The sequence below is a fragment of the Homo sapiens genome, chromosome 1 (assembly GCF_000001405.40).
Source record: "Homo sapiens chromosome 1, GRCh38.p14 Primary Assembly".
NCBI lineage: Eukaryota > Metazoa > Chordata > Mammalia > Primates > Hominidae > Homo > Homo sapiens.
In genome coordinates, this window is record NC_000001.11 from 9,691,436 (window position 1) to 9,718,042 (window position 26,607).

The following is a 26,607-nucleotide window of genomic DNA, read 5'->3' on the forward strand; positions in this document are numbered from 1 at the left end:
TCTTTCTTTCTTTCTTTCTTTTCCCCAACAGATAAGGAGTCAGGCCAGGGCGGGATGACACTCATTGATTCTAAAGCATCTTTAATCTGCCAGGCGGAGGGGGCTTTGCTGGTCTTTCTTGGACTATTCCAGAGAGGTAGGTTGGGGGAACGGGCCAAGTGTGTGGGGGAAGGGAAAGGAGATGTTATTTTGTAGATAGGTTAAGAATGTGAACAAACCCATCCTCCCCGACTCTCCAGCCAAAGGAAGACTTCTCTGTAGGACTAGCACACCCAGAGGAAGAGAGTGACCCAAATTGGTGCTAGGAGCGAATGAATGGGGAAGTGAACTAGACCTCAGCCATTCCCAGGAGAGAGATGCTGCTGCCTGGGAAAAGAAGGAATGGCTTTGCTTTGAGGAGTCCTGGAGCCCATTACTAAGCTGCAGCATTTGGTATTTGACTCACACTGGCCACGGTAGCGTTGGACTCGCCTGACTGGGGAGAGAAATATTAAAAGTTTTCTGGAGGAAATGGATTGAATTTTTATAATTCAGTGTTGCTTCTCAAGGAGTCCCTAGGTGGGGCCGTTCTGTGTCTTCAGAGAGCTGGCAGTCACTGTCTCAGTAAGAGGATGCTCTTCAGAGTTTCTAGGACATTAGCTTAGAAGATGAATGCAGTCCTTTCATGGTGCAAATGAGGACACTGAGGCCAGAGACCGACACTGGCTGGACGTTGGCTACCACACCCATCTGGGGGCCTGGAATAGCTGGGTCTGGCTTGGGAGCTCCATGACTGCGAGACCTGCCGGTCCCCTTGCAAGCTCTCTGGGTGCATAACATATTCTGTGTGTACCCAGAATTCCACTGGAGACGCTACTGTCATTTCAGGATGGAAAGGGGCAGGGGTTAGAGCGCGGTGGCGTCCTTAAAGGCTTTTTCCCCAACCTCAGCCTCATTTTCTCTAGATCTTCATTGGTACTTTCCAAACTTGTTTGATGATTGCGGATCTCTTTTTAAAAATCAAAATATAGGCCGGGTGCCGTGGCTCATGCCTGTAATCCTAGCACTTTGGGAGGCCAAGGTGGGCGAATCACGAGGTCAGGAGTTCGAGACCAGCCTGGCCAACCAACATGGTGAAACCCTGTCTCTACTAAAAATACAAAAAATTAGCTGGGCGTAGTGGTGGGCACCTGTAATCCCAGCTACTCGAGAGGCTGAGGCAGGAGAATCACTTGAACCCAGGAGGCGGAGGTTGCAGTGAGCCGAGATCACACCACTGCACTCCAGCCTGGGTGACAGAGTGAGACTCCGTCTCAAAAAAATAAATAAATAAAATAAATCAAAATATAAAGCAGAATTTTAACCTATAAACCAGATCAAAACAGCCACTGTAAGAGAAACTAGCCCAGAACTCCTTCTGCTCAGCACCCTGTCCCACTCCCACCTACCTCTGAAGGCCTGGGGTGCTTCTTTGGAACCCCAGCGCTCCCCTGCACATAAGCAAAAGCCATAGATCATGTAGACCCCTGTTGGAGGATTAGAATTTCTTCCACACATCTATTTATACTGACTTGATCTTTGTCTCAGAAAATGCCTTTTAATAATATTTTTAATCCTCATGCTTTTTTATTTATAAAAATAGGAAATTAGTGTCAAGTTTGGAAAATACCAAAAACATACAAGCATACTCGTCTATCATCTTACCGCCACCCCACCCCGCACCAGAGAAAACCACTGTTTCCTCGTTGGAGTATCCTCCCCCAAACCCCTCAGAGAGAATTCTGTCTGTAGCTTTTATTTATTATTTATTTATTTACTTAATTTTTTTGAGATGGAGTCTTGCTCTGTCACCCAGGCTGGAGTGCAGTGATGCAATCTCAGCTCACTGCCACCTCCGCCTCCCGGGTTCAAGCGATTCTTCTGCCTCAGCCTCCCAAGTAGCTGGGACTACAGGTGTGCGCCACCATGCCCAGCTAATTTTTGTGGTTTTTTTTTTTCAGTAGAGACATGGTTTTGCCATGTTGGCCAGGCTGGTCTCGAACTCCTGACCTCAAGGGATCCACCTGCCTCAGCCTCCCAAAGAGCTGGGATTACAGGCGTCAGCCTCCACGCCCTGACCTGTGTCTGCACCTTTTAAAACTTGACTTTTATTTATTAGTAAGTATTATTATAGACTTTGACATAAACATAACAATCGAACATATATGTATTTCTCTGCTCTGTTTCAAAATCCCACTAAAATGAAAGTAAAGGAATAAGAAAAAATGTAAATTCTTAAAAAAAAAAAACTAGAAAAGTAAATGGTTGAGGAGGGTGGTATGAACAAAACCTTTGCAGGACAGGAAACCGATAGGCGAGAGGGAAGCTGAGTGGAGAATGTCCAATGTCTTGGGCCATGGGGGAGGCAGGTGGAAAAGGCAAAGGAATGGGGGCTCTGGGGATGGAGTGCTTCGAAAGGTGGTGTGTGCAGGGTGGGCTGGAAGCAGGAAGATTACTTGAAAGAGCATGGTAGGGTGACAGACCACCCCCCCAGGCCACATAGCCAGATGGTTCCCTTCCCCACCCCAGCAGGTGGCAGGTTTCCGGCAGGCAGTGTTTTCAGAGAGGTTGGCCCAGCCCAGGGCAGCAGAGGCACTGCATGGAGAACGAAAGGGTCAAGCGAGTTAGTTTGCCAAGCAGTGAGACCATATCCTGGGTAGCTCCCCGAACACCGCAGCTTCCATACAGCCTCTGGGCAGACCCTTGGAGGACTTCTGTCTGACCAGACTGATCTCACGAGAAAAATAACTGTCACATATTGACATTGAGGGGGACCTTGTTGAAAAGCCAGCTTGTTGCTAGGCACGGTGGCTCCCACCTGTAATCCCAGTCCTTTGGGAGGCCGAGGCGGGAGGATCATCACTTAAGGCCGGAGTTTGAGACCAGCCTGGCCAACATGGCGAAACCCCATCTCTACTAAAAATACAAAAATTATCTGGGTGTGGTGGCGCGTGCCTGTAATCCCAGCTACTTAGGAGGCTGAGGTAGGAGAATCGCTTGAACCTGGGAGGTGGAGGTTGCGGTGAGCCAAGATCACGCCACTGCACTTCAGCGTGAGCGACAGAGTGAGACTCCGTCTCAAAAAATAAAAGTCAGCTTATTGCTTTGTCATTTCACACTGAAGCCTACCGAGCAGCTAGCCCTACCTGTGTACAAGCAGGGTTAGTGCCTTTCCCTTAGATTTGAATGGGCAGCCAAGGGCCATCCCACATGGAATGAGATTTACAGGCTAAATGTGGTGGCTCATGCCTGTAATCCCAGCACTTTGGGAGGCTGAGGCAGGAGGATCGCTTAAGCCCAGGAGTTCGAGACCATCCTGGGCAACGTAGGGAAATCCTCTCTCTACATAAAATAAAAAACAAGCCAGGTATTGTGGCACATGCTTGTGATCCCAGCTACTTGGGAGGCTGAGGTGGGAGGATTGCTTGAGCCTGAGAGGTTGAGGCTGCAGTGAGCCATGATCATACCAGTGCACTCCAGCCTGGGTGACAGAGTGAGACCCTGTCTCAAAAACAAAAAAGAGAGAGAGAGAGAGAGACAGAGAGAGACTTCTAGTGTGAAAGACAGAGACCCAAATGAACAGAAAAAAAAATTTGAGAAGTCACAAACAGGGTCGTATGGGGAAAAAAAGGCACATTCATAAAATAATAAGCTGTTAGGTATTAAGATAGCAGAAGTAAAAATAGAAGAAGTAAAAATTTCAACAGAAGAGTTGGAAGAGTGAAAAACAAATTTCCAGAAAGTAGAACACAAAGACTTAAGAGATGGAAAATAGGAAAGAAAATATAGAAAAATTTGACTTCAGTCCAGGAGACCCAGCATGCACCACATAGGAGCTCAAGAAAAAAAGGCAAGAGAAACGGAGGAAGGAAAAGTATGTAGGAAACAATTCTAGAACTGAAGGCATTTCTACTTTTAAACAGTCTCGAAGTAGTACCCAATACCATGAATAATAAAAGGCCCACGCTATAGGACATCATCATGAACTTTCAAACTCCAGAGATAGAGAGAAGTTACTAAATGTCATCAGAGAAAAAAAGGCCACATACAGATCAGAGAATGAGATGGCTTTAGACTTTTCAAAAGCAACAGTAGAAACTACAAGACAGGCCAGGCGCAATGGCTCACACCTGTAATCCCGGCACTTTGGGAGGCCGAGGCGGGCAGATCACTAGGTCAGGAGTTCAAGACCAGCCTGGCCAACATGGTGAAACCCTGTCTCTACTAAAAATACAAAAATTAGCTGGGCGTGGTGGCATGTGCCTGTAATCCCAGCTACTTGGGAGGCTGAGGCAGGAGAATCGCTTGAACCCGGGAGGCGGAGGCTGCAGTGAGCCGAGATTGTGCCACTGCACTCTCCAGCCTGGGTGACAGAGCGAGACTCAGTCTCAAAAAAAAAAAAAAGAAAAGAAAGAAAGATACTACAAGAAAATGGTCAGTGCTTTTAAATTTCTGAGAATTAATTAATTCTGAGGGAAATTAATTCTGTAATTGTCATTCAAATAAAAAGTACATTAAAGACTTTTTTTTTTTTTTGAGATAAGGTGTTTCTCTGTTACCCAGATTGGAGTGCAGCAGTGTGATCATGGCTCACTGCAGCCTCGACCTCCTAGGCTCAAGCAATCCTCCTGCCTCAGCCCCCCGAGTAGCTGGGACTACAGGTGTACGCCACCATGCCCAGCTAATTTTTATCCTTTTTGTAGAGATAGGGTTTTGCCATGTTGCCCAGGCTGGTCTCAAATTTCTGGGCTCAAGCAATCCACCCACCGTGGCCTCCCAAAGTGCTAGGATTACAGGTGTGAGCCATGGCACTTGGCCCACAAACTCATTTTCTAAGGTAAGAAGTTAAAATTTGACAGTGGGGTGGCTCGTGCCTGTAATCCCAACACTTTGGAGCCCAAGGCAGGAGGATCACTTGAGCCCAGGAGTTCAGGAACAGCCTGGGCAACATAGTGAGACCCCATCTCTACAAGAAATAATAATAATAAAATTTAAAAATATTAAAAGAATAAAATTGGCTAGGTATGGTGGCCCACACCTGTAATCCTAGCACTTTGGGAAGCTGAAGCAGGAGAATTGCTTGAGCCCAGGAGTTTGAAAGCAGTCTGGGCAACATAGTGAGACCCCATCTCTACAAGAAATAAAAAGTTAGCTGGCGTGGTAGCATGTGCCTGTAGTCACAGCTACTCGGGAGGCTGAGGCAGGAGGATTGCCTGAGCTAGGGAGGTTGAGGATTTCACCACTGTACTCAGCCTGGATGAGACCCTGTCCCAAAAAAAAAAAAAGAGAGAAGAAAAAAATAAGTTGAAAGTTGAAAACCAAGAAATATTACCATAAAACTGTTATTTAGAAATATCAAGGTCAGGCATGGTGGCTCATGCCTTGTAATCACAGCACTTTGGGAAGCCAAGGCAGGAGGATCGCCTGAGCCCAGGAGTTTGCATCCAGCCTGGGCAATGTACTAAGACCTTGTCTCTACAAAAAATTTGAAAATTAGCCAAGTGTGGTGGTGCATGCCTGTAGTCCCAGTTACTGAGGAGGCGGAGATTGCAGTGAGCTGTACTTGTGACACTGCACTCCAGCCTAGGGGACAGAGTAAGATCCTGTCTCAAAAAAAAAAAAAAAAAAAAATTGTAGGCTGAGCACAGTGGCTCATCCCTGTAATCCTAGCACTTTGGGAGGCTAATGTGGGGGGATCACTTGAGCCCAGGAGTTCAAGACTAGCCTGGGCAACATAGCAAGACCCTGTCTCTATTTTCATAAAAGATTTTTTAAAAATTTTGCCTGAGGTATAAAAACACACAAAAATTTTAAATAAAAAATGGAAATATAGAGATAAATACTTAAGCAACTGAAATTTATTGGGTGTGGTATATATGTGGAAGTGGAGGTCGGAGGACTGCTACTTTGTACTGTAAGAGTTTTAGTTTTAATTAATTTTAAAAATCATGGACTTGTGGCCAGGCACGGTGGCTCATGCCTGTAATCCCAGGACTTTGGGAGGCCAACATGGAAAGATTGCTTGAGCCCTGGAGTTTGAGACCAGCCTGGGCAACATAGTGAGAACCTATTTCAAGACAACAAAATTGTATTTCATTATTATTTAAAAAAAAAAAAAAGTTTTTTTTTAATTAGCTGGGTATGTGGTGTGCACCTGTAGTCCCAGCTACTGGGGAGGCTGAGGTGAGAGGATCACTTGAGCTCAGGAGTTCAAGGCTGCAGTGAGTCATGATCACGCCATTGCACTGTAGCACGGGCAACAAAGTGAGACCCTGTCTCTAAAACAAAAAAAAAGTGCTGAGCGCGGTGGCTCACACCTGTAATCCTGGCACTTTGGGAGACTGAGGCGGGTGGAGCACTTGAAGTCAGGAGTTCAAGATCAGCCTGAGCAACATGGCAAAACTCTGTCTCTATTAAAAATGCAAAGGAGTATCTGGGTGTGGTGGCGTGCACCTGTAGTCCCAGCTATTTGGGAGCTGTGATGAGAGGATGGCTTGAGCCTGGGACGTGGAGGTTGCAGTGAGCCGAGATTGCACCACTGCACTCCAGCCTGGGAAACACAGCCAGACCTTGTCTCAAAAAAGAAGAAGAAGAAAAAAGAAAGAAAACCACGTACTTGTATAACTTTCCTAGAAATTAAAATAATAAAGTTATTATGACATCCATATTCATTCATAACATTTCATTTTTTCTATGCTTTTTTTTTGAGACGGAGTTTCGCTCTTGTTGCCCAGGCTGGTGTGCAATGGCACGATCTCGGCTCACTGTAACCTCCGCCTCCCAGGTTCAAGCAATTCTCCTGCCTCACCTTCCCAAGTAGCTGGGATTATAGGCATGCGCCACCACGCCCAACTAATTTTGTGTTTTTAATAGAGACGGGGTTTCACCACGTTGGTCAGGCTGGTCTCGAACTCCCAACTTCAGGTGATCCACCTGCCTCAGCCTCCCAAAGTGCTGGGATTACAGGCGTGAGCCACCATGGCTGGCCTTTCTATGCTTTCTAAAATGCTTTATCAACAAGCATATGTCACAGTGATAAATGTCTGTGCACTTAATGTGTGGAATATTTGCAGTGTTGTGTAGTGTGCCCAGGTGTCATTTTGATGACTGCATTCAGTTTCATTGAGTTAATGCATCATTTAGCCATTTCCTTATCACTTTCACAAACAATACCACATTGAATATCTTTGTGTATATAGCTTTTTTGACTTTTGAATTGCTTCTTTAGGATAATTCCCAAATTCCCAAAGTTACCAGGTCTGAGACCATGGATGTTTCTTTCTCTTGATTTTGATGTGTAGTATCTGAGGCCTCCACCTGGGTGCAGGCCTGTGGCCTCCCTGGTGGGCCGTGACCTAGGATGATGATGAGATGGTGGGGATAGCATTTTTTTTCAGGGTAGTTAGCTTTTTTCTGATGGCAGCAGTAGAGGTCAGAAATCTTTGTTGCGGAGGCCAGGTATGGTGGCTCATGCTTGTGATCCCAACACTTTCAGAGGCCGATGCAGGAGGATTACTTGAGCCCAGGAGTTTGAGACCAGCCTGGGCAACATAGGGAGGTCCCGCCCCCTACAAAATAAATAAATAAATAAACAAAGCTCTGCACAGTGATGCACAGTGCAGTGATTTGTGTCATATTCCCAGCTACTTGGGAGGCTGAGGCAGGAGGATCTCTTGAGCTTACGAGGTCAAGGCTACAGTGAGCTATGATGATGACACTGTACTCCAGCCAGGGCGATAGAATGAGACCCTCTCTGCGAACCGTGCCAAAAAAAGAGTAGGCTGCTGGGATGAGTTCGGGCATTTCGGGGCATGTGAGCCCAGCACTTCCCCTCATCAACCCAGCCCTGCCAGCTCTTGCTGTACATGTCCTGCACACGTCTCCTCATTGCTTTCCTACTTCCATTCTGGCCTCGCCCCTTCCATTTTCCCACAGCAGCCAAAGCCATCTTTATAAAGCATAAAATCAGGCCGCCTCAGTCCTCTGCTTAAAACCCTCCAGTGATTTCTCCTTGTAATGATACTGGACTCCTCACCATGGCTACGGGGCCCTGCAGGGTCAGACTCACCGTCTCTCCCAGTCACCCTCTCCCAGTCACGCCCTTGACTTCAGGCACCTGCCTCCTGCCTCAGGGCCTTTGTACTTTCTTTTTTTTTTTTTGAGATGGAGTTTCACTCTTATTGTCCAGGCCGAAGTGCAATGGTGCAATCTTGGCTCACTGCAACCTCTGCCTCCCAGGCTCAAGGATTCTCCTGCCTCAGCCTACTTGGGATTATAGGTGTGTGCCACCACGCCTGGCTAATTTTTTTGTATTTTTTAAATAGAGACAGGGTTTCACCGTGTGGGCCAGGCTGGTCTTGAACTCTTGGCCTCAAGTGATTTGCCCGCCTCGGCCTCCCAAAGTGCTGGGATTACAGGCGTGAGCCACCGCCCCCGGCCCAGGCCTTTGCACTTTCTGTCCCCACTGCCCGGAACCCTATTTTGTGGATTTTTGCTGGATCCTTCTCTCACTTGAGCCTCAACTTCAGAATGATCTCACCCGAGGACCCTTCCCTGACCCACCATCCAAAGGAAACGCTGCCTGCAAGCCCCTTTTTATTATATTCCAGTGCTTTTACTACCTGAAGCATCTTGTTTATCTATTTGTTTTCTTTTTAACTTTGTATTTAATTTTTAAATATTTATTTATTGATTTTTGAGACAGAGTCTCACTCTTGCCCAGGCTGGAATGCAGTGGTGTGATCTCGGCTCATTGCAGCCTCCCCCTCGCAGGTTCAAGTGATTCTCGTGGCTCAGCCTCCCAATAGCTGAGGTCAGATCCCTCAGACGTTCACAGCTGGGACGCCGTTCTTCCACCTTGGGCTCCAGAAAGAGCACCAAGGAGAACATTTCAGGACAGACTGTAAGGGTGGCGTGGTGTCCTGGCCAGAACCCCATGTGCGGGAGGGCTCCGCTTTGCACAGCTGTTTCTGTGGATCATGCTGGCCAGGAGGTGGGAAGGTGAAAGGAATTGTGTTCTTATCCTGTTTCCTTGGATATTTTATGAGTGACTTAGATGTGGACACAACTCATGCCTCAGGATTCTGGATGAGTAAGTGAGGAGGGATTGGTCACCGTCCATCACTGGGTGACGCGACCCCAGCTCCCCGCTCTGTGTCTAGGCCGTCTCACCTGCCCCTCCCCGGCTCCACATCTGTCTGTAGCCTGCTGACTCCACAGATCTGTCCCCCGCCCTCCCACCTGGGGAGTTTGCCCCTGGCGGTCTTTACGTGGCTATTCATTAAGCAGCTGAGATTCATTTGGTCTAAAATGGGGCTCCGGCTGTCTTATCCCACCAGAAATCTCTTCCTTTCCTGTCTCAGTAAATTCCCACCACCACTCCCATCTCCCAAGCCCAAACCTGGCTGTCATCCTCACTTCCTCCTGCACCGTCCCCCAAGGGTCCCTCTGATTTAAGTATGTCTGGATTCCGTTGCTCTCCAGTGCTGTCTCCTTCTGGGTCAAGCCACTGTCATTAGTGGCACCGGCCTCCTTCCCCTGCCCCCTACTCCCCTTCCTCCCTGCTTCTCCGCAGTCCTTCCACACCGCAGCCAGCAGCATAGTTGTGGATGAAAATCGCATCCCTCACTCCCTCACCTAAAATCCTCCAGGGCTGTCCATCCGCTCAGCACAAGCCCCAGGTGCCAGCCCTTGTTCTGAAGGCTCTGCAAGACCCAGCCCAGTTGAAGTCTTCAACTTGCTCATGCCACACCCTCCCCTCCGTGCCCACCACCCCCTGCTCCAGCTGTAGTGGCCCGTTCTAGAAGACTTGAGTCCCTTTCCCACGAGATCCCCTGCACCTCGTGTAATTTCTGGCACTTAATCAGGCTCCATAGATACTGGTGGGATAAATGAATCTACCTCGGACTGAATGATGGAGACAAAACATAAAATCAAAGCCGGGCGCGGTGGCTCACGCCTGTAATCCCAGCACTTTGGGAGGCCGAGGCAGGCAGATCACCTGAGGTCAGGGGTTCAGGACCAGCCTGGCCAACATGGCAAAACCCTGTCTCTACTAAAAATACAAAAAATCAGCCAGGCACAGTGGCAGACACCTGTAATTCCACTTACGAGGCTGAGGCAGGAGAATTGTTTGAACCTGGGAGGCGGGGATTGCAGTGAGCGGAGATTGTGCCAGTGCACTCCAGCCTGGGCGACAGAGCAAGACTCTGTCTCAAAAAAAAAAAAAAAAAAAAATCCAATAAGATATGAGAGCCAATTATGTTCACAAGATGAAACTACCAAGGATAATTGTGAATTCCTTCATTTAGATCAGGAAATTCATGTTCCTGTACAGGCAGGGAGAACCTGGCTTACTGTGAAAAATCCCTGGAGGGCTGGCAGCCAATGAGTTCATGATGTGGCCACCAAAAATCTGCCTTGGGGTGAGAGTAGGGGAGCATGAAATACTCTCAGGCTAAGCAAATAGGAGCTCGGTGCCCAGAACATTCTTCTACAGCTCGACCTGCCAGGCCCTGTCTGTAGCATCTTGTTTTTGTTTTTTTGGTTTTTTTTTTTTTGAGATGGAGTCTCACTCTGTTGCCCAGGCTGAAGTGCAGTGGTGCGATCTCGGCTCACTGCAACCTCTGCCACCTGGGTTCAAGCGAGTCTCCTGCCTCAGCCTCCCGAGTAGCTGGGATTACAGGCAAGAACCACCACGCCTGGCTAATTTTTGTATTTTTAGTAGAGACGGGGTTTCACCATGTTGGCCAGGCTGGACTCGAACTCCTGACCTCAGGTGATCTACCTGCCTTGGCCTCCCAAGGTGCTGCCCTGGAGCATCTTGTTAGCTTGGAGTACCAAACTGTGGCAAAAGGGTCTAAAAACTGTATCACAGGGAGAACATTGAGTGGTTTTGGGAATGCCTAGGCTGAAGAGAGACGCCTTAGGGCCTGATGGGGCCGCCATCCAGTGGTCCTGTGGACTCCTCTGTGTGCCTCTAGATGGCAGCACAGAGATCGGAGTTTGACTCTTAGAGGCAGGTCCACTTCCAAGGAAAGAACTTTCCTTTTTTTTTTTTTTTTTTTTTTTTTTTTTTTTTTTTTGAGGCAGAGTTTTGCTCTTGCTGCCCAGGCTGGAGTGCAGTGGCGCCATCTCGGCCCACTGCAAACTCCGCCTCCTGGGTTCAAGCGATTCTCCTGCCTCAGCCTCCCGAGTAGCTGGGATTATAGGCATGTGCCACCATGCCCGGCTAACTTTTGTATTTTTAGTAGAGACGGGGTTTCACCATGTTGGTCAGGCTGGTTTCGAACTCCTGACTTCAAGTGATCCACCTGCCTCAGCCTCCCAAAGTGCTGGGATTACAGGCATGAGCCACCGTGCCCGGTCAGGGAAAGAACTTTCTAAACACTAGAAGCTTCTAAAAATGGAAGTGCAGCTGCAGTAATGAAAATAGATGTTTTTAGCTGTAAGCGGCCAAAAACTCAGCTCAAACTGCTGTAAGTTAAAAAAGAAAAAAGGCTGATGAGACTGAAGAGTCCAGGGATAGACTGTAGCTTCAGGCATGGCTGGATCCAGGGAATCAAAGTTCGTCCTCAGGACCCAGGCTTGTACTGTCTGCTTTAGCCCCACTTTCCTCTGTGTTGGTCTCTTCTCAAGTTCTGCCCCTAAAGACAGCAAACAGTTGCTAGCAGCTCTAGGTAGACAGTCTGTCGTTTCTGCTACCCCAAGAAGAAGTCCCAGAGAAGCCTAGATGTCAAAACCCACTGGACTGACTTGATAGTCATATGGCCATCCTGGAATCCTATAGTCAGGGAGATAACGTGTAGTGATAGGCTGCGCCTAAGTCTCATTCCCACCTCCAAGCCAATCCCCATGGCCTGGGCAAACTCAGGCCCCTGATTGGCTGTGTCTGAGTCTCAGGCTATCCAGGGAGCTAGGGGTGAAGTCAGCTTATCCGAACCACTTGGACTGAGTGTGTTGAGTTTTTGAAAAGTCCCCAGCTCCCAGATTAAAAAAAAAACCAACAAAAACGTAAAGTTACTAGCACCCAGAAGCCTCCCATGCGCCCTTCTAGTCACTCCCCCAAACCTGGGGTAACCCCTATTTCTTTTGCCACCATAGATTTATTAATTCTGCCTGTGTTTGTTTCTTTGTACAGTTGGAATCATGAACACATATTTTTTTTGTGGGCAGCTGCTTTTGCCCAGCTTTATGTGTGTGAGAGTCATCGATACTGTTGTGTGGACTTGTAGACTGCTCATTCTCATTGCTATATAACATTCTGCTCAGAAAGAGTATCACACATTATTTTGCCATTCCCCATTCTGTTGATGTGCATTTGGGAAGTTTCCACTTTGGAGCCATCATGAATAGTGATGCCATAGACACTCTTGCCCGTGTCTTTTGATAAATATACATGTATTTGCATTTCTCTGGGGTGTGTACTTTGGAGCGGAATTGCTGGGTCCTAGGGCATAGGCATGTTCAACTTTAGTAGATATTGTCAAACAGTTTTCCAAAGCAGTTGTACTGGTTTGCGTTCTTGGGGCATTTCTGAAGTCCCTGTACTCACTGGCATCTCTGTCCTGTACATATCAGAGAGCTATGGTTCTGGGCTTCATTCAGGGAAGAGTTAGGGCTGGTTGGCCACTGTGCTAGAGAGAGGTTCTTAGCCCAGAGAGACGGAAGGCACTTCCACTTTCTCCTGTCCTGTCTCACTGGTGACAGGACCTGGCATTTGATGTCCTGTGCAGACCAGTCTGATACTTTCTGTATTAGGAATGAGGTTTTCTGTGAAAGTATTTCCCTACATCCCATTTAGGTAAGGTGTAGTTGAAGACTTCATTTCCAGAGTGCTAAGGGGCAGGAGAGTGAGGGGTGTATTTTCCTGGAACCCAGGCTGTGGGTTGGAGTCCCTGGGAGCTCATGCCTCATGTGCTCATCTTGGGCCTCACCAGACTGAGTGGCCAAAGATACCCCTGACTTTCAAAGCCCATGGTCAAAGCCCATTTCATGTCATAAGTGGATTCTCCAGGATTCCTGACTCTCTCCCAAGTTGTTTTTTTGTTTTGCTTTGTTTTGTTTTGTTTTGTTTTTGAGACAGGGTCTCACTCTATTGCCCAGGCTGGAGTGCAGTGGCACAATCTCAGCTAACTGCAACCTCCACTTCCCTGGCTCAAGCAATCCTCCAGCCTCAGCCTCCCAAGTAGCCGGGACTACAGGCGTGAGCCACCATGACCGGCTAATTTTTGTATTTTGTGTAGAGACAGGGTTTTACCATGTTTCGCAGGCTGGTCACCAATGCCTGAGCTCAAAGTGATCCACTGGCCTCAGCCTCCCAAAGTGCTGGGATTACAGGCGTGAGCCACCACGCCCAGCCGGTCCCCCAAGTTTTGAAACAAAAGGAAGACTTTGGCTTGGCCATTCTCAGCAAGAGGAACCCAAAGTAGGATGTGGTTTTGCAATTGGAGGAAGTGGCGACCAGCAGTGGCAGTGCCTAGAGATGTGCAGCTCTCGCTCCTCAGGGCAGCTGGGGTCCAGCTGACGGTGAGGCCTGGGCCCAGCCGGCGCTGCCACCCAATCAACACCTGCCTTCAACCAAATATTTCTTTTCAACTGTTTTTACAAGTCTTTAAAATCCAAGAGAATGTGATCTTTAAGTAGAGAAGTCTTTGCTTAAAGAATAAAAATCATAAATCATAAAGGCAAAGATTGATAATTTGACCGCATCAACATTAAAAACTTCTACTCACCAGGCTGGGCATGATGGCTCATGCTTGTAATCCCAGCACTTTGGGATACTGAGGCCAGTGGATCACTTGAGCCCAGGAGTTTGGGACCAGTCTCTACTAAAAACATATATTTTTTTAAAGTCTCTATTAAAAATACCAAAAAAAAAAAAAAAAAAGGAAAAAAAAAAGGGTGTAGTGGCATACGCCTGTAGTCCCAGCTACCTGGGAGCCTGAGGTTGGGAGGATCACCTGAGCCTGGGAGGTTGAGGCTGCAGTGAGCTGTGATTGCGCCACTGCACTCCAGCCTGGATGACAGAGTGAGACCCTGTCTCCTAAAACAAAACAAAACAGCAACAACAAAAAACCTTCTACTCACCAAAAAGACACCATAAGCAAAGCAAAAAGATGACTCAGATTAGAAAATATTTCCCGCTCATTCAACCAACAAAGGAATGGAATCTAGAATATATAAAGAAATCCTACAAAGCATTAAAAAAGATTAAGTAACCCCACAGGAAAATGGGCAAAGTTTATAGTAAGTAGGCTATTTGTAGAAAATAAAGGTTTTATGGAAAATCAGGGAAATGCAAATTAAAACGAGATAATTTCATTCACATCAAATTGGCAAAAATGAGTAAATTTGACAATACCAAGTGTTGACCAATATCTGGAGATTGATCTCCATACCACAGTTCTGAGATTGCTGACGGGCACCACCGTCTTGAGGACAGTGTGGTGATATTTAGTAAAGTTAATGGTGTGGTTATACCGATCGTAGGTTATGCCACATGTGTCTCTTGAGCACTTGAAATGTGGACAGTGTGAGGAATGGAATTTTAAAACATTTAATTTAATTTAAAATTGCTGTTGATTCATTTATTGGAATTTTTTTTTTTTTTTTTTTTTTTTGGTAGAGACAGAGTTTTGCCATGTTGCTCAGGCTGGTCTCAAACTCAAGCAATCCACCTGCTTTGGCCTCCCAAAGTGCTGGGATTACAGGCATGAGCCACTGCGACCAGCCTTAAGTGTGTTTAGAACAAACTGGGTCTGGCTAGGAGCTCACACCTGTAATGCCAGCACTTAGAGAGGCCGAGGTGGGAGGATCACTTGAGCCCAGGAGTTCGAGACCAACCTGGGCAACATAGCAAGACCCTGTACCTCAAAAAAAAAAAAAAAAGTTAGCAGGGCATGGTGGCACAAGCCTGTAGTCTCAGCCACTCAGGAGGCTGAGGCTGGAGGATCGCTTGAGCCCAGGAGTTGGAGGGTGCAGTGAGCTATGATTGTGCCACTGTACTCCAGCCTGGGCAACAGAGTAAGACCCTATCTCAACAGAAAAAAACAACAAAAACCTGGGTCTGTGAACCTACTTTTCACCTGTAGATTGGATAAAATCTACATTCAGATCAAGTATTTCTGATGATAATCTAGAAATGAAATTGCAGTACACACTAAATGTAAAACACACACCAGATTTCAAAGATTCGATACCAAAATAAATGTCAAAATATCTCATTAGTAATTTTCTCTATTGATTATGTGTTAAAATGACTATCTTGTGGCTATATTGGGTTAAATAAAATACATAATGAAACTTCATTTTATCTGTGCCTTTTCACTGTTTTTGGCTTTTTTTGATTTCTTTTTTTTTTACTTTTTTCTTTTTTTTTTGAGACATGATTTTGCTGTATTGCCAAGCTGGTGTGTAGTGATCCATCATAGCATCTCAAACTCCCAGGCTCAAGTGATCCTTCCACCTCAGCTTCCAAGTAGCTGCGACTACAGGCACGCTCCACCATGCTTGGCTAATTTTTAATTTTTTTTTTTTTTTGTAGAGATGGGCTCTCACTATGTTGCCCAGGCTGGTCTCTAACTCCTGGCCTCAAGTGATCCTCCTACCTTGGCCTCCTAAAGCACTGGGATTACAGGCATGAGCCACCATGAGCCCAGCCTTTTCACACTTTTTAAAGTGGCTTCTGGTAACCTGGACGTTACCTATGTGGTTCCCGTTGCCTTTCTCTTGGGCAACACTCAGCACTCTCCGATGAGCACAAGGGGATGGATTCAAGAACATACATTGTAGCATCATTAAAAGTAACTAAGAAAAGTAGAAACCAGCCTTCATCTTCATCAACAAGAGAGAGGGTAAATTGTGGTTTCTTTTTTTTTTTTTTTCCTTGAGTGTTACATTTTTCTTTTTTTTAATTTAACTTTTATTTTAAGTTCAGGGGTACGTTGCAGGTTTGTTATATAGGTAAACTTGTGTCGTGGGGGTTTGTCATACAGATTATGTCGTCACCCAGGTATTAAGCCTAGTACCCATGAGTTATTCTTCCTCATCCTCTCCCGACTCCCACCCTCCACCCTCAGGCCCCCGTGTGTGCTGTTCCCCTCTGTGTGTCCATGTGTTCTTATTTAGCTCCCACTTATAGGTGAGAACATATGGTGTTTGGTTTTCTTTTCCTACATTAGTTTGCTGAGGATAATGGCCTCCAGCTCCATCCATGTTCTTGCAAAGGACATGATCTCTTCTAATTGTGGCTTCTTTACACAATGAAATATTGTGCAAGAGATAAAACGAATGAACTAAAGCCATGTGTGTATTCGCCTGGGTAAATTTTTTTTTTTTATAATTTTGTTTTTTTTTTTGAGATGGAGTCTCAGTCTGTCGCCCAGGCTAGAGTACAGTGGCGCGATCTCGGCTCACTGCAAGCTCTGCCTCCTGGGTTCATGCCATTCTCCTGCCTCAGCCTCCCAAGTAGCTGGGACTATGGGTGCCCGCCACCACGCCCAGCTAATTTTTTTGTATTTTTAGTAGAGAAGGGGTTTCACTGTGTTAGCCAGGATGGTCTCGATCTCCTGACCTCGTGATCCACTCGCCTCGGCCTCCCAAAGTGCTGAGATTACAGGCGTGAGCCACCGCGCCTGGTCCCGCCTGGGTAAATCTAAAGAACAGCACAATGAGTGACCAAAGCAGGTCGCAGAAGACTCCGTGTGTACATACAGGCTTTTTGTTTGTTTGTTTGTTTGTTTGTTTGTTTGAGACAGTCTCACTCTGTCATCCAGGCTGGAGTGCAGTGGCGCAATCTGCTCACTGCAACCTCTGCCTCCTGGGTTCAAGCGATTCTCATGCCTCAGCCTCCCGAGTAGCTGGAATTACAGGCATGAATCACCACACCCAGCTAATTTTTGTATTTTTAGTGGAGACAGGATTTTGCCATGTTGGCCAGGCTGGTCTCGAACTCCTGGCCTCAAGTCATCTGCCTGTGTCGCCTCCCAAAGTGCTGGGACTGCAGGTGTAAGCCACCATGCCTGACCATGCGCAGATTTAAAGCACGCACTAGTACCAGGAATTGGATGTGGATACATGTTGGTATAATAAAAATATAAAAACATGCATGGACGTCGGGCCCAGTGGCTCATTCCTGTCATCCCAGCACTTTGGGAGCCCAAGGCAGGTGGATCACTTGAGGTCAGGAGTTCGAGACCAACCTGGCCAACATGGTGAAACCCCCATCTCTACTAAAAATACAAAAATTAGTTGGACGTGGTGGCAGGCGCCTGTAATCCCAGCTACTCGGGAGGCTGAGGCAGGAGAATCGCTTGAGCCCAAGAGCTGAGATTGCACCACTGCACTCCAGCCTGGGCTACAGAGTAAGACTCTGTTTCAAAAAAATAAAACAAAACAAAAAACATGTATGGAAATGATAAACAACCAGACTCCAGGTACTGCTAACCTGTAGTGGAGTAGGCTAGAGGCGGGGAAGGGAGAAGGGGACCTGGAAGAGGGGGAACACCAGGTCCTTTGTGTTTGTAACATTTTGTTACTAGGGGTGGGTATGACTGGAGGGTTTGGTATGATTCAAATTTTTTCTTTTTTTTTTGAGACGGAGTTTCGCTCTTGTTACCCAGGCTGGAGTGCAGTGGTGCGATCTCGGCTCACTGCAACCTCCAACTCCTGGGTTCAAGCGATTCTCCTGTGTCAGCCTCCTGGGTAGCTGGGATTACAGGCATGTGCCACCATGCCCGGCTAATTTTTATATTTTTAGTAGAGACAGGGTTTCATCTAGCTCAGTTCATCATATTGGTCAGGCTGGTCTTGAACTCCTAACCTCAGGTGATCTGCCTGCCTGGGCCTCCCAAAGTGCTGGGATTACAGATGTGAGCCACTGCACCCGGCCTGACTGGAATATTTTAACAAATTATTGGATGACCAAAGCCATTTTTAAGCCTTTTGGTTTCTAGTCAGAAAGTTTCAGAGAGGCTGGATATGGTGGCTCATGTCTGTAATCCCAGCACTTTGGGAGGCCAGAGTGAGAAGATCCCTTGAACCCAGGAGGTCAAGACCAGCCTGGGCAATATAGTGAGACTGTCTCTACAAAAAATTAAAAAATTAGCCAGGTGTAGTGGTGTGCACCTGTAGGCCCAGCTACTTGGGAGGGTGAGATGGGAACATCGCTTGAACCTAGGAATTTGTGTTACAGTGAGCTATGATGGCACCACTGTACTCCAGCTGGGGCAACAGAGTGAGACCCTGTTTCAAAAAAAAAAATCTATTTCACAGCTGGGTATGGTGGCTCATGCCTGTGATCCCAGAACTTTGGGAGGCCGAGGTGGGCGGATCACTTGAAGTTAGGAGTTCAAGACCAGTCTGGCCAACATGGTGAAACCCTCTCTCTACAAAAGTACAAAAATTAGCCAGATGTGGTAACGCATGCCTGTAATTCCAGCTATTTGGGAGGCTGAGGCAGGAGAATCTCTTGAACCCAAGAGGCGGAGATTGCAGTGAGCCGAGGTGGTGCCACTGCACTCCAGCCTGGGTGACAGAGCAAGACTCCGGCTCAAAAAAAAAAAAAGAATGTATTTCAAAGAACTGCAGCCTTCGGCCTCTCAGGTCTCAGGGCACCTGACCAGCTGTCCTGCCATCTCCCTTCTGTGCCAGCTGGTGGCCATGACTGGCTTTCGTGGATGTGTATGTTCCTGAGGAAAGATGATTTGCTGTGCGTGCTCCTGTGGGGAGGACATGCAGTGTCTGCCTGGGAGAAGAGGCAGCTGAGGCCGTGGCCCGGAGTAGTAGGAGCCACAAGCCACCCTGGGCAGGACGAGGCCCTGAGGGAGGTGAGCTTTTTGTACCCGCAGGTCGGGAACTCACTCCTGAGCTTCCTGCTGTCCAAGGACCCCACTGTTTTCCAGGGAGTCCCTTCCAAAGGTCTCACCCAGCTCAGCTGAGGTAACTCATTTTGCCATTTCTTCATTTTTAGGACAACTGTCATCTGGGAAGTAACAACGCAGGATGCCCCCTGGGGTGGACTGCCCCATGGAATTCTGGACCAAGGAGGAGAATCAGAGCGTTGTGGTTGACTTCCTGCTGCCCACAGGGGTCTACCTGAACTTCCCTGTGTCCCGCAATGCCAACCTCAGCACCATCAAGCAGGTATGGCCTCCATCCGGTCCTCAGACCTTGGTGCTCAGAGAGAGAGAGAGAGAGAGAGACACAGATAGACAGACAGACAGACAGACAGATGGACAGGTGGACAGACGGACAGACAGATGGACAGATGCACTGCTTTTCAGACTTGGGATCCTCAGATGAGAATTTTAAAAGATAAATAATGGTTTGTTTGTTTGTTTGTTTGTTTTGAGACGGAGTTTCGCTCTTATTGCCCAGGCTGGTGTGCAATGGCGCAATCTCGGCTCACTGCAACCTCCAACTCCCGGGTTCAAGAGATTCTTCCGCCTCAGCCTCCTGAGTAGCTGGGATTACAGGCATGCACCATCACGCCCAACTAATTTTGTATTTTTAGTAGAGACGGGGTTTCTCCATGTTGGTCAGGCTGGTCTCAAACTCCCGACCTCAGGTGATCCACCTGCCTCGGCCTCCCAAAGTGCTGAGATTCCAGGCGTGAGCCACTGCATCCAGCCGATAATGGTTTTTTTGGTTTTTGTTTTTTGAGACAATCTCGCTCTGTCACCTAGGCTGGAGTGCAGTGGCATGATCTCAGGTGACTACAACCTCTGCCTCCCAGGCTCAAGCAGTTCTCGTGCCTCAGCCTCCTGAGTAGCTGGGACTATAGGCGTGCACCACCACACCTGGCTAATTTTTGTGTTTTTTAGTAGAGATGGGGTTATGCCATGTTGGCCTGGCTGGTCTTGAACTCCTGAGCTCAAGTGATCCACCCGCTTCGGCCTCTTAAAGTGTTGGAATTACAGGTGTGAGTCACCGCGCCCGACCCAAAAGATAAATCACGTCCATGAGTTGTTGAAAGACTTGTGGTTGCGTCCAATTATTCCAATTTCAGCTTTCCCCATTTCACAGTGTATGTTTCCCTCTACTCAGTTATCCAATTATTCATGACTAGATGAGATTAGGGGCTGCCTCCCACGGTGGGCTTTCATCCTATTCATGACTGTGTCATCATTTTTTTTTTTGAGATGGGGTCTCACTCTGTTGCCCAGCCTGGAGTGCAGTAGTGCGATCACAGCTCACTGCAGCCTCAATCTCCCCAGGCTTAGGTGAGCCTCTTACCTCAGCCTCCTGAGTAGCTGGGACTACAGGCACGTGCCATCAAGCCCAACTAATTTTTCGTGTCTGTATTTTTTGTGGAGATGGGGTTTCACCATGTTGCCCAGGCTAGAATGTGCCTTTCATTTTTGAAACCACACTCCATCCATGGCTGCCTAAGTGGTTTACAGGTCTTTTGTCTTTAAAGCTGTTGCCATAGTAAACAACATCTCTTTTTCTTTTTTTTTTTGAGATGGAGTCCCGCTCTGTCGCCCAGGCTGGAGTGCAGTGGCGCCATCTCGGCTCGCTGCAAGCTCCACCTCCCAGGTTCACACCATTCTCCTGCCTCAGCCTCCCGAGTAGCTGGGACTACAGGCGCCCACCACCACGCCCGGCTAATTTTTTGTAAACAGCATCTTTGGAAAGAGATTTTGGTTTGTTGAATAATATTCAGGATGGACTACTGAGTCAAAGGATTAAATATGTAGACAATATTTGGTGGATATTGTCTTGTGACCTTCTAAAGGGCTTGTGCCCCTTACTAAGCATGGGACTTGAGGGATCATGCCTTGGGCTGTGGGAGGGCAGGACCTTATCCCAGAATTTTATTTTATTTTTATTTATTTTTATTTTTTGAGACAGGGTTCACTCTGTTGCCCAAGCTGGAGTGCAGTGGTGTGATCTTGGCTCACTGCAACCTCCGCCTCCCAGGTTCAAGCAATTCTCCTGCCTCATCTTCCCAAGTAGCTGGGACTACAGGCACGTGCCACCACGCCCGGCTAATTTTTGTATTTTTAGTAGAGACGGGGTTTCACCATGTTGGCCAGGCTGGTCTCGAACTCCTGACCTCAAGTGATCTGCCCACCTTGGCCTCCCTTAGTGCTGGGATTACAGCCGTGAGCCATGGCACCCGGCCCTTATCCCAGAATTTTAAAAGCTATAATTGGGAGCAGGGAAAAAATACGAAAGAAGTAATGGATCATCTTTGAGAGTTTTTTCTTCTTCTCTTCCTGGAAGATGTCTTTAAAAATTAAGTTTCTTTTTCCTTCCATTGGAAGAGTAATATGGACACATTACAATTTAGGAAAAGGCCTGGCATGGTGGCTCATGCCTATAATCCCAGAACTTTGGGAGGCTGAGGCAGGAGAATTGCTTGAGCCCAGGAGTTCGAGACCAGCCTGGGTAACATGACAAAACCCTGTCTCTACAGAAAATGAAAAATAAAAAAATTAGCCAGGGCCAAGCATGGTGGCTCACGTCTCTTATCAGCACTTTGGGAGGCGGAAGCGGGTAGGTCACCTGAGGTCAGGAGTTTGAGACCAGCCTGGCCAACAAGGTGAATCCCCATCTCTACTGAAAATACAAAAAATTAGCCAGGTGTGGTGGTAGATGCCTGTAATCCCAGCTACTCGGGAGGCTGAGGCCGAAGAATTGCTTGAACCTGGGAGGTGGAGGTTGCAGTGAACTGAGATGTGGGCCATTGCATTCCAGCCTGGGCGACAAGAGCGAAACTCTGTCTCAAAAAAAAATCAGCCTGTGTGGTGGCATGTGCCTGTGATCCTAGCTACTCAGGAAGCTGAGGCAGGAGGATCACTTGAGCCTGGGAGTTTGAGGCTGCAGTGAGCCATGATTTGCCACTGCACTCCAGCCTGGGTGACAGAGTGAAACCCCGTCTGTAAAATAAACAAGCAAACAAACAGACAAAAACAAACACAAAAAATAAATGTAGGAAAAGTAGAAAAAGGAAAAAAATTACCTCTGATCCAGCCATATGAGAAAACCACAGTGAATACTTTGGCTATTGCCTGTTTTCTCCTCTATGTACAGTGTTTTTTTTGTAATAATTCTGATTATGACCTTTCATATCTTTTTTTCTGAGTTAACGGTATAACATTTTATTCATGTTATTAACTTTATATAGATACCATTGTATTTTATTTTGCTTGAGAATGGTCTCACTTTGTTGCACAGGCTGGAATGCAGTGGCATAATCCTAGCTCTCTGCAGCCTTGACATCCTGGGCCCAAGCGATCTTCCCATCTTAGCCTACTGAGTAGCTGGGACTACAGGCATGCACCACCATGCCTGGCTAATTTTATTTTTTATTATTATTATTATTATTTTTGTAACGGTGGACCTTGCCATGTTGCCCAAGCTATAGATAGCATTTTAGTTTTTTATTTTTATACTTTTTTTTTTTTTTTTTGAGACAGGGTCTTGCTCTGTCATCCAGGCTGTAGTGCAGTGGCATGATCACAGCTCATGGCAGCCTCAACCTCCTGGGCTCAAATGATTCCCCCATCTCAGCCTCCTGAGTAGCTGGGACTACAGGTGCATGCCACCATAACCAACTAATTTTTTATTTTTTGTAGAGATGGAGTCTTATTATGTTGCCCAGGCTGGCCGTGAACTCCTGTGCTCAAGTGATCCTCCCACCTCAGCCTCCCAAAGTATTGGGATTACAGGAGTAAGCCACCGCACCTGACCTAGATGTCATTTTAAATCAGTCTTATTTTTCCATTTACAGAGCTGTGCATGTGGGTTATTAAAATTCAAACAGTGCAGAGGCAAAGCATACACATCTCGATTTGGTCCCAATTCTTCATATTTGTATTTATCCCAGGGGCCAGATAGTAAATATTTTAGCAGTTGCTGGCTGGCTCTGTTATCTGTTGCGATGATTCAGTCCCGCCACCATAGGACAGGAGCAGCCCTGAGTGATATGTAAATGAAGAGGCGTGGCTTTTTGGGGTTAACCAGGTGGCAGGTGGATTTAGCCAGGAAAAGGGTGGTTTGCTCACCCCTGGTCTATGTTAATTGATATGTTTATTAGGGGTTTTTTTGTTTGTTTTTTAATGGAAATGGGCTTGACCCACACCTGCTGCTCTGTATCTTGGGGTTTTCCCCTCACTTAATGACACACCTTGGACCCCTCCAGGCCGGGCACATAGAGCTGCTTGACAGTCCCTAGACTGTCACAGCTTGGCGCCATCCCACTGCTTGACAGACCATAGTTAGCCGTTGCCCTTTGTAGCAACACTGGGAACTTTCCTCCTTTCCCGTCTTCTTTGTGACTCAGTGGTGAACACCTTTCAACTGCTTGTTGCTGTGGGAGGGCTGGAGGCCCGTCACCCCAGGGCACACACTCCATGGAGAATTCTCTTTGGGCCCCCTTGCTGTGTTAAATATTTCTGAGTTCGTTGCCAACATTTAAAAATCAGGGTTGCCAGGCGCAGTGGCTCACACCTGTAATCCCAGCACTTTGGGAGGCCGAGGTGGGTGGATCACCTGAGGTCAGGAGTTTGAGACCAGCTTGGCCAATGTAGCGAAACCCCATCTCTACTAAAAAAAAATACAAAAAATTTAGCCAGGCATGGTGGTGCATGCCTATAATCCCAGCTACTCGGGAGGCTGAGGCAAGAGAATCACTTGAACCTGGGAAGCAGAGGTTGCAGTGAGCCAGGATTGCGCCACTGCACTCCAACCTGGGCGACAGAGTGGGACTCCATCTCAAAAATAAAATAAATAGGTGAAGAACTCCAGGACAGTTAGCTGGGCTGCATGAAGGTCATGGCCCCCCGTCTCTGGAGTGACCTAGGGTGGTCCTGCACTCTGGGAGGGGAGCCTGTAGGACGTGGTGCCAGCCCCAGATCCCAGCACCTCCCAGGTGCCCCCACAGAAGGGCATCAGTGGAGAAGCCTGTCCACCCATGGTCAGCACCCAGGGGGCTGCAGAGAGTGCAGATCTTGGGGTCTGCCTCTGCCCTCTGGGAGGTTTGGACCCCCAGGCTGGAGGCCAGCTCTCCACCCTCCCTCAGCCTCCCACCTCCCAGTGGCTGCCTTGGGTGGAGGGGCTGACCGGTGACTGTCCCTCCAGCTGCTGTGGCACCGCGCCCAGTATGAGCCGCTCTTCCACATGCTCAGTGGCCCCGAGGCCTATGTGTTCACCTGCATCAACCAGACAGCGGAGCAGCAAGAGCTGGAGGACGAGCAACGGCGTCTGTGTGACGTGCAGCCCTTCCTGCCCGTCCTGCGCCTGGTGGCCCGTGAGGGCGACCGCGTGAAGAAGCTCATCAACTCACAGATCAGCCTCCTCATCGGCAAAGGTAGCTCTGCCGAGTGGGCCGTGTGGCCGGGCTGGCCCTGCCTGCCCCACCCGCTGACCCAGCCCTCCCCACCCCGCAGGCCTCCACGAGTTTGACTCCTTGTGCGACCCAGAAGTGAACGACTTTCGCGCCAAGATGTGCCAATTCTGCGAGGAGGCGGCCGCCCGCCGGCAGCAGCTGGGCTGGGAGGCCTGGCTGCAGTACAGTTTCCCCCTGCAGCTGGAGCCCTCGGCTCAAACCTGGGGGCCTGGTACCCTGCGGCTCCCGAACCGGGCCCTTCTGGTCAACGTTAAGTTTGAGGGCAGCGAGGTGAGCCCATGCGTGGCCTGCGGCATCCAGGCTGCTCTGTCCATGGGGAGCACTTCCTCTGTGAAACTCCTCAGTCATCCGCAAGCCCCCCTCCCCCAGTGGCATCAGATGGTGTTTGCCAGGTGTCTGTGCATGTGTGGGGCTCAACTGAACGTCCCCCCAGGCAAGCTCAACGTGGCAGGATAACCAAGTGGCGTGGGGCATTGGGCATCAGTTTGTTCATTCTTTGAACAAATATTTCCCAGTGTCATTTGTGAACTCCCCAGACCCTACCCTTGGGGGCAAATAGGCAACCCTGCCCTGTGCCCCAGAACCCCGGGGGGCCTCGAGGGCAGAGGACTGACCTCCCTCCTCCCCACAGGAGAGCTTCACCTTCCAGGTGTCCACCAAGGACGTGCCGCTGGCGCTGATGGCCTGTGCCCTGCGGAAGAAGGCCACAGTGTTCCGGCAGCCGCTGGTGGAGCAGCCGGAAGACTACACGCTGCAGGTGAACGGCAGGCATGAGTACCTGTATGGCAGCTACCCGCTCTGCCAGTTCCAGGTGAGGCCGCTGAGGCCCTCTGCACTCTGGGCTCCCAACGCCCTGGATAGGGCCTGGGTGGGAGTCGGGGAGCTGACATTTGGGCGCACCTTGAGCCTGCCGAGCCAGGCCTTTGGGTCACCGCCAGAGCATCCCCTGGTAGGGCTGGCCCTCTCTGAGAGCACAAGGAGGGGCTCCGTCTTGGGAGGTGGAGGTGGGGCAGGAAAAACCAGCAGGAAGCCCTCCCCTCTCCCAAGGCCTAGGACAGGCAGTGGGCAGCTTGGGGGGTCCTGGGAATCCTGGTGTCCAGGGAGTGGTTGGGGCCGCCCCACCAGCCGCTCACCCTGCACCCCGTCTCAGTACATCTGCAGCTGCCTGCACAGTGGGTTGACCCCTCACCTGACCATGGTCCATTCCTCCTCCATCCTCGCCATGCGGGATGAGCAGAGCAACCCTGCCCCCCAGGTCCAGAAACCGCGTGCCAAACCACCTCCCATTCCTGCGAAGAAGGTGAGATGGCGCCTTCCGCCTCCCCTCTGAGCCACCCCTTCTTTCCACCTGGCGTCCAACTCCATGTGCTACTGGCCATGGGTCCAGGGGCCCTTGGTATGGAGAGCTGGGGCTTTGAGCTGGGGAAGCCAACACAGCTGACCAGCGTCCTGGGCTGGGGGCCTGTGGGACTGCCGTGGGTGGGGGGCAGCCCCATGCCTGGCTCACCGGCTGCCCTTCCCCTCTGCAGAGCTCAGGGGTGTTGGGGCCCCCTGGGGAGCCCGCATGGCAGGTTTTCTGGGAAAGGATAGCATTGTGGACAGGCCCAAACCTGGCCGCAAACCTGTGACCCTCTCACCCGCCCCCAAGTGGTCACGGGCCTCACCATAGGCCAGGGAGACAAGCTGCACTTTGAGCCGTGTTAACAGCCCTGCTTCCCCGGCCCCCAGCCTTCCTCTGTGTCCCTGTGGTCCCTGGAGCAGCCGTTCCGCATCGAGCTCATCCAGGGCAGCAAAGTGAACGCCGACGAGCGGATGAAGGTGGGGCTCCTGGGATAGGTGGGAGAGACACTGTTTTTTTGCACAAACAAGGTGGCTGTATCCTGGAGGGGTAGCAGAGGAAGGAGGGGGATCACATGAAAGCCACCTGACCACATTACCCAGCATCCCTGCCTGGGGCGCTGTGAGCGGCTTGAAAACAGGAAGTGGGGAGGGGGTGGGCCAGCCGGCCCTGGAGGCTGATTCGTAGAAACTTGGGCCAAGCAGCGTTCTGGGTATTTGACTTTGGTGGAGGTTATGGGGCCAGGTTCAGCCCAGGGATCCGGGACCGCAGAGCTGGGGGAAGGGCCGGGCATGGAAGAGGGGCTGGGTCCAGCTGGGCTGGGGGCTGTGGTGCTCCCTGGAGGCACCAGGGCGGTGCCTGCAGCCTGTGAGGGCTGCACCTGCCTCAACCTCTA

At 49.0% G+C, this 26,607-nt stretch overlaps 1 protein-coding gene across 38 annotated transcripts in view, besides 6 other annotated features; it reads left to right on the forward strand.

The window, feature by feature from the left end:
• Positions 1-26,607, forward strand: part of PIK3CD (phosphatidylinositol-4,5-bisphosphate 3-kinase catalytic subunit delta) — a 101,857-nt gene that overhangs the window by 64,178 nt on the left and 11,072 nt on the right. For 19 of the 38 annotated variants that reach the window (XM_047422557.1, XM_047422553.1, XM_047422551.1 and 16 more), the window contains 7 exons: positions 32-136; positions 18,989-19,161; positions 24,106-24,334; positions 24,414-24,643; positions 25,005-25,184; positions 25,524-25,673; positions 26,102-26,191. In XM_047422557.1, the coding sequence (XP_047278513.1) occupies positions 19,021-19,161; positions 24,106-24,334; positions 24,414-24,643; positions 25,005-25,184; positions 25,524-25,673; positions 26,102-26,191 (1,020 nt within the window). In that variant the 5' untranslated portion in view covers positions 32-136; positions 18,989-19,020. Of the gene's footprint in view, positions 1-31; positions 137-2,036; positions 2,137-18,669; positions 18,846-18,988; positions 19,162-24,105; positions 24,335-24,413; positions 24,644-25,004; positions 25,185-25,523; positions 25,674-26,101; positions 26,192-26,607 lie in introns of those variants that run through there. The other 19 variants (XM_024447664.2, XM_047422571.1, XM_047422572.1 and 16 more) reach the window with 7 other exon arrangements.
• Positions 9,564-10,138: an enhancer, noted in NCBI's record as "H3K4me1 hESC enhancer chr1:9761057-9761631 (GRCh37/hg19 assembly coordinates)". NCBI's record gives its function as "activates a minimal SCP1, AML or CMV promoter by ChIP-STARR-seq in primed H9 embryonic stem cells {active_cell/tissue: H9 hESC(primed)}" and the evidence as "EXISTENCE:reporter gene assay evidence [ECO:0000049][PMID:30033119]".
• Positions 18,026-18,723: an enhancer, noted in NCBI's record as "H3K27ac-H3K4me1 hESC enhancer chr1:9769519-9770216 (GRCh37/hg19 assembly coordinates)". NCBI's record gives its function as "activates a minimal SCP1, AML or CMV promoter by ChIP-STARR-seq in primed H9 embryonic stem cells {active_cell/tissue: H9 hESC(primed)}" and the evidence as "EXISTENCE:reporter gene assay evidence [ECO:0000049][PMID:30033119]".
• Positions 19,862-20,062: a silencer, noted in NCBI's record as "peak57 fragment used in MPRA reporter construct". NCBI's record gives its function as "represses an SCP1 promoter by STARR-seq MPRAs in K562 erythroleukemia cells {active_cell/tissue: K562}" and the evidence as "EXISTENCE:reporter gene assay evidence [ECO:0000049][PMID:32103011]".
• Positions 23,922-24,897: an enhancer, noted in NCBI's record as "H3K27ac-H3K4me1 hESC enhancer chr1:9775415-9776390 (GRCh37/hg19 assembly coordinates)". NCBI's record gives its function as "activates a minimal SCP1, AML or CMV promoter by ChIP-STARR-seq in naive H9 embryonic stem cells {active_cell/tissue: H9 hESC(naive)}" and the evidence as "EXISTENCE:reporter gene assay evidence [ECO:0000049][PMID:30033119]".
• Positions 24,898-25,873: an enhancer, noted in NCBI's record as "H3K27ac-H3K4me1 hESC enhancer chr1:9776391-9777366 (GRCh37/hg19 assembly coordinates)". NCBI's record gives its function as "activates a minimal SCP1, AML or CMV promoter by ChIP-STARR-seq in primed H9 embryonic stem cells {active_cell/tissue: H9 hESC(primed)}" and the evidence as "EXISTENCE:reporter gene assay evidence [ECO:0000049][PMID:30033119]".
• Positions 26,525-26,594: a silencer, noted in NCBI's record as "silent region_231". NCBI's record gives its function as "represses an Ori minimal core promoter by ATAC-STARR-seq in GM12878 lymphoblastoid cells {active_cell/tissue: GM12878}" and the evidence as "EXISTENCE:reporter gene assay evidence [ECO:0000049][PMID:35858748]".